The sequence below is a fragment of the Homo sapiens genome, chromosome 4 (genome assembly GCF_000001405.40).
Source record: "Homo sapiens chromosome 4, GRCh38.p14 Primary Assembly".
Lineage (NCBI taxonomy): Eukaryota > Metazoa > Chordata > Mammalia > Primates > Hominidae > Homo > Homo sapiens.
The window spans coordinates 119,411,666-119,418,826 of record NC_000004.12 but is presented as its reverse complement, the minus strand read 5'-3'; positions in this window follow the sequence as shown (position 1 = coordinate 119,418,826).

Sequence of the window (7,161 nt, the reverse complement as noted above, 5' to 3'; positions counted from 1 at the left end):
GGAAGGGAAACCAGCACTGTACAGACCTGAACCACAAAGATGGCATATTTTGTTCAGGGAATGGTGAATTAAGTGTGGCAGGAATGCTTTGTAGACACAGTAATTTGCTTGTATGGAATTTTGCCTGAGAGACCTCATTGCAGTTTCTGATTTTTTGATGTCATCATCCATCACTGTCCTTGTCAAATAGTTTGGAATAGGTATAATGATCACAATAACCCCAAGCATAATATTTCGTTAATTCTCACAGAATCACAGGTAGGTGCCACAGTTATCCCCATTTTATGAATGGAGTGATGAAGCCTTAGGAATAATGAATGATTTGCCCAAGCTCGCCTGGATATTAAGACTGAGTCAAATGTTGGGTTTGGTCTGATTTTAATGTTTGCTTTGTTCATGAGCACCACATATTGCCTCTCCTATGCAGTTAAGCAGGTAAGTGACAGAAAAGCCCATGTTTGTCTCTACTCACACACTTCCGACTGAATGTATGTATGGAGTTTCTACACCAAATTCTTCAGTGCTCTGGATATTAACTGGGTATCCCATGACTTTATTCTGACACTACCTGGAGTTAGCACAGACCCCACAAGTTAGGGGCTCAGTCCCACGAGGCCATCCTCACTTCAGATGCCAATGGCAAGTCCTAAGTTGTCACCGTACTTTTGACCAACCTGTTACCAATCGGGGGTTCCCATAACTGTCTTCTTGGGTTTAATAATTTGCTAGAACAGTTTACGGAACTCAGAAAAACAGTTTATTTTCTTTTTTTCTGAGAGGGTCTTATTTTGTTGCCCAGGCTGGTGTGCAATGGTGCAGTCATAGCTCATTGCAGCCTTGATTGTCTGGGCTCCAGTGGTTCTCCCACCTCAGCCTCCCTAGTAGACATGCCTGCACCACCACATCTGGCTAGTTTCTTTTATTTTTTGTATATATGGGTCTTGTTGTGTTGGCCAGGCTGGCCACAAATTCCTGGTCTCAAGTGATCCTCCCACCTCAGCCTCTGAAAGTGCTGGGATTACAGATGTGAGCCACCACATCTGGCCAGTTCATTTCCTATTACTGGTTCATTGTGAAGGATACATCTCAGAAACAGTCAATGAAAGAGACGTGCATGCTGGATGCAGTGGCTCATGCCTGTAATCTCAGCACTTTGGGAGGCCAAGGTGGGAGGATCGCTTAAACTCAAGAGTTTGAGACCAGCCTGGGCAACATGGTGAAAACCTGTCTCTATAAAAAATTTAAAAATAATAATAATAACCGGTGTGGTGCTGTGCACCTAGAGTTCCAACTACTAGGGAAGCTGAGTTGAGAGGATACCTTGAGCTGGAGACTGGGGAGGCTTAGGTTACAGTAAGCTGAGATTGTGCCACTGCACTCTAGCTTGGACAAAAGAGCCTGATCCTGTCTCAAAAAAAAGAAAGATACCCAGGGCAAGTTAAGTTCGGAGGGGCACAGAGCTCCCATGCCCTCTGTTGAACATGCGACCCTCCCAGCATCTCCTGTGTCCAGCAACCCTGAAAGCTCTGCAAACCCCGTTCAGGGTGTTTATGGAGGCTTTATTATGCAAGCATGATTGATAAAATCTTTGGCTGTTGGTGATTAAGTCAGTCTCCAGCCCCTCTTCCTCCTGGAGTTCAGTGCATGAGGCTGAAAGTTCCAAGCCTCTTACCATGTGGTTGCGTGGTAATCAGCCCTCCTCTTGAGGAAATTTAGGAGCTTGCAGTCACCCAGTCATCTCAACAACATCCCCAAATGCATTCTTACATGCTGGAGATCCCAAAGTTCTTAGAGGCTCTTGTGTTAAAACCTGGGACCAAGACCAAATATTAAAACAAAAGATGTTCCTGTCACATCTATCACTGAGGTCTTTGTAAGAGCTTTAGAAGCTCTGTGCCACGAACCAGGGACAGAGATTAAATATATATTTCTTTTCTTTTTTTTGAGACAGGATCTCCTGTGTCATCCAGGCTGGAGTGCAGTGATGTGATCATAGCTCACTATAGCTTTGGCCTCCTGAGATCAAGCAATCCTCCCATCTCAACCTCCCAAGTAGCTAGGACTCCACATGCATGTCACCCATGCCCAGCTCATTTTTGTAGAGTCAGAGTTTCGCCATGGTGGCCAGGTTGGCCATGTTGGCCAGATGGGGTCTTCTTTTGTTGCCCAGGCTGGCCACAAATTCCTGGGCTCAAGTGATCCTCCCACCTCGTCCTTGTAGAGATGAGATTTAGTTATGTTGTCCAGGCTGATCTCAAACTCCTGGGCTAAATCGATTGTCTCACCTCAGCCTCTCAAGTAGCTGGGACTACAGGCGCATACCACCATGTCGGGCTAATATTTATTTTTATTTTTTTCTAGAGGTGGGGGTCTCACTGTGTTTTTCATGCTAGTTTCAAACTTCGGGCCTCAAGTGTTCCTCCTGCCTTGACCTCCCAAAGTGTTGGGATTCTGGGTGGGAGCCACCATGCCCAGCAATCACAAGGGTCTTTATAAAAGAAAGAGAGTAGGAGATTCAGAATTGGAGCAGGAGATGTGGTGATGAAAGCAGAGGTAAGAGAGGGAGATTTGAAGATGCTTCACCTCTGGCTTTGAAGATGGAGTCAGGGGCCATGATCCAAGGAATGGGGGTGGCTTCCAGAAGCTGGAAAAGCCAAGGGAACATATTAGAGTCTCCAGAAGGAATGCAGCCCTGCTGACACCTTGACTTTAGCCTTAATAGACCTAGTTTGGGTTTCTGGCCCCTGGAACCGTAAGATGGTAGATTTGTGGTGTTTTAAGCCACTAAATGTAGGAAACTTCAAACTATGTTGCAGCAGCAAGAAGAAATGAACATGAAGCCAGGCATGATGGCTCATGCCGGTAATGCCCGCACTTTAGGAATTTAGGCAGGAGGATCACTTGAGGCCAGGAGTTCAAGACCAGTCTGGGCAACATAGTAAGACCTTGTCTCTACAAAAAATGAAAAAATTGGCCAGGCGTGGTAGCTCACGCCTATAATTCCAGCACTTTGGGAGGCCGAAGCGGGCAGATTACCTGAGGTCAGGAGTTCGAGACCAGCCTGGCCAACATTGTGAAACCCCGGCTCTACTAAAAATACAAAAAATTAGCTGGGCGTGGTGGCACGCACCTGTAATCCCAGCTACTTGGAAGGCTGAGGCAGGAGAATCACTTGAATCTGGGAGGTGGAGGTTGCAGTGAGCCGGGATCGCACCGTTACACTACAGCCTGGGCAAGAAGAGTGAAACTCTGTCTCAAAATAAAATAAAATAAAATAAAATAAAATACTAAAAAATTTAGCCAGGCATGGTGGCATGAACCTGGAGTCCCAGGTACTCGGGAGGCTGAGGTGGGAGGATCGCTTGAGCCTGGAAATTTGAGGTTGCAGTGAGCTGTGATTTCGCCACTGCACTCCAGCCTTGGTGACAGTGAGATCTTGAAAAAAAGAAAGAAGAAAGTAAAGAAAGAAGAAATGAGCATGGTGGGCATGGGGACAGATGGCAGTGTTGACTAGAATGGTCAGGGGTGGCCTCCTAAGTGAAAATTGAGTAAAGACTTGAAGGAGGGGAAGGAGCTGGCCAAGGTGCTGAGGGAAGAGGATTGTAGGCAGAAACAATAGAATAAACTGTCTGAGGTGTGTCTCCGGCTCTGGAAGGAGGCCCATGGAGCAGATGGAGAGAGGGAGAGAATTAGGGGAGGGAGCCAGGGAGTTGCTGGGTGAGGATCAGTACAGATCACATAAGCCCTGGGAGGTTATTGGTGGGGCTTTGGCTTTTACTCTGACTTAGATGGGAACTGCGGGAGGGTTCTGAGCAGAGAGGCGACGTGATCTGTCTCCCGATTTAAAAGCATTCTCTGGCTGCTGAGTTGAGAAAGACTGTGGGAAGATGTGATAGAAGCATGGGGGCCAAGCTTTGGCAACATCCAGGCGGGAGATGATGGTGGTCCTGACCAGGGTCGTGGTGGTGTTGAGAGATGGTCAGAGGGGAGAACTAGGGGAGGAGGCCAGGGAGTTGCTGGGTGGGGATCTTTAGTAGATGTCAAAGACAATCAACAGGATTTCCTGACAGACTGGATATGGGGTGTGAGAGAAGGCAGGGGTCAAGGTTGAGTTTGATTGTTACTGAAATTATTAAGTAATTTTAAAAAACACTACTGCCTTTCCCAATCCTACCAAGTATGGGATGCTAGATTAAAGAAATCTCTTCAGGCTCATTGCAGTGGCTCATGCCTGTAGTCCCAGCTGTTTGGTAAGCAGAGGTGCGAGTATCTTTTAAGGGCAGGTGTTCAAGACCAGCCTGGACAACACAGCAAGATCTGCTCTTTACAAAAATATTTTTCAAAATTAAATAAATGTAGCTAGGCATGGTGATGTGTACTTGTAGTTTCAGCTACTCAGGAGGCTGAAGTGGGCAGATCTCTTGAGGTCAGGAGTTTGAGGCCAGCTTGGGCAACATAGCAAGACCCCTCACTCTACAAAAAAATTAAAAAAATAACCAGGCATGGTGACACTCAACTGTACTACCAGCTACTGGGGAGCTGAGGCAGGAAGATGGCTTGAGCCCAGGAGGTCGAGGCTGCAGTGAGCTGTAAGTGCACAGCTGCACTCCAGTCTGGGTGACAGAGCAGGACCTGTCTCACAATACAAATAAAAATACAAGTAAAATAATATCTCAAGTCAGAGCCTTTTGGCTCTGCAGCCCTTGCAACCCCTCAGCCGTGCAGTGGGGTTTGCGTCGCTGGGAATGAGGAGACCCCTGCCCGGTGTTGTTGCCTGACTAATCAGTGTTTTAAAACATATATTAATCGGGGTGGGCGCGGTGGCTCACACCTGTAATCCCAGCACTTAGGGAGACCTAGGCGGGTGGATCACCTGAGGTCAAGAGTTCAAGACCAGCCTTGCCAACATGGCGAAACTCCTTCTCTACTAAGAAAATACAATAATTAGCTGGACGTGGTAGTGGACGCCTGTAATCCCAGCTACTTGGGAGGCGGAGGTAGGAGAATCGCTTGAACCTGCGGGGTGGAGGTTGCAATGAGCTGAGATTGTGCCACTTCACTCCAGCCTGGGCGAAAGAACAAGACTTTGTCTCAAAGAAAAAAAAAAGTATTATATCAACATGTCATGGTTTTATTATTAATATGTAATGAATATTAAATATTTTTAAAATCTTGTATTATATCAACATGTAATGGCTTTAATATGTGATGAATAATATTTAAAAATTTGTGTCTTATTTTCTAGTTTTAATATAATTATCTACAGAAAGAAATAGTCTTAGAGATCTTCAATAAAGTTAAAAAATGTAAAGGGATGTTAGACCCCAAAAGATTGAGAATTTCTAGTTTAGAAATATTCAGAGTAAGCCACATACAACTTGCTACTTGAACTATTTTTTTTCTTTGTTTTTTATTTTAGGAGATGGGGTCTCACCCTGTCACCCAGGCTTGAGTACAGTAGTGCTATCACAGCTCACTGCAGCCTTGAACTCCTGGGCTAAGGATCCTCCTACCTGAGCCTCCTGAGTAGCTAGGACTGTAGGTACACATGACGATACTTGGCTAATTTTTAAATTGTTTTGTAGACATAGGGTCTCACTTTGTTGGCCAGGCTGGTGTCAAACTAATGGCCTCAAGTGACCCTTCCACCCCTGCCTCCCATCCTAGAGGTATGTGCCACCACAAGGAGCACTTGTTCAATTTTCTAAAGAAAAAATTTCTAAAGTAAGGTTGTGGGATGATGGCAGGAAGATAAAAGAAAAACAGAAGAAGAAGTTACAATGACTTATTCACACATATTCTTTTGACAGCAAGAAGAACTTTTAGTATATACATTCCTTACAAACAAACAAAAGGCAGATAAACAATGTTGTATAGGAACTTTAACACACACTGTACAATATTCCCACTTTGCTGACATAAGTTATGGAAATTTCGTGGTTTACTTGAGTGTCACTACCAGTATTTTGCTTCTCTGATGATTTTTATCAACTTCCTCATCTGTTAACTTCTCTCCAAGGTATGTCATGTCACGACATACTGCCGCTGCACGACCATGGCCAGCGTCTTCCTATTAAACATGTAGAATGCTTTCCTAATTTCTCTTTTTACTCTCTGTCTTTGTGTTTTGCATTTTCCTTACTTTTATTGTCTGAAACTCCAGAAAGTCAATCGTACTAATTTATCACGATTTGCTTTATTAATTTATACTTTGCTTATATGGAATTTTGCCCAACAGACCTCAGTACAATTTCTAACCTGTTTTGTTTTTATTTCTGAGACAGGGTCTCCCTCTGTTGTCCAAGGCTGGAGTGTAGTAGTGCTATCACAGCTGACTGCAGCCTCAACCTTCCAGGCTGAAGTGATTCTCCCATCTCAACCTCCCACGTGGCTGAGACTACAGGTGCTTGCCACTATGCCCAACTAATATTTGGAATTTTCATATAAGTGGATTCCAGAGTGGTGACAGCAAAACGTGAGTAAGCATGGGTTTTGGTATATGCAGAGATGGGGGGCTGGAACTAATTCTGTATACTGAGGGACGACGACTGTATATGTTTTTACAATTACGCTGTAGGATACATACTGTTGCATAGCCTTGAAAATAATAATTTTTAATTGAGTGGAATAATAATAATATTGCTAAAAGTAGCAGCTGGCCAGGTGTGGTGGCTCACACTGGTAATCGCAACTCTTTGGGAGGCTGAGGCAGGAGGATGGCTTGAGGCCAAGAGTTTGCGATAGGCCTTGGAAACAAAGCGGGGAGTCACCATCCCTACAGAAAAATACATGAATTAGCCTAGTGTGGTGGCATGTTCCTGTAGTCCCAGCTACTTGGGAGGCTGAGGTGGGAGGATCACTTGAGCCCAGGGAGGCTGAGACTGCAATGAGTCATGATCAGGCCTCTGCACTCCAGCCTGGGTGACAGAGTGAGACCCTGTCTCAAAACAACAAAAAAGTAGCAGCTAACATCAACTGACCTTTTATACCAGGTGCCTATTGATATCATAGTTTAATTTCTTATAACTGTTTCTTATTTCACTTACCAACTCTGTCTTCAGTTACTCCCAGATTTTTACTGTGTTTGTACAGATGACCTTTTGTTTAGATTGAATTATCTCCCCAGAAGTAAGATTACTGTGAGACATGGTGAATGGACAT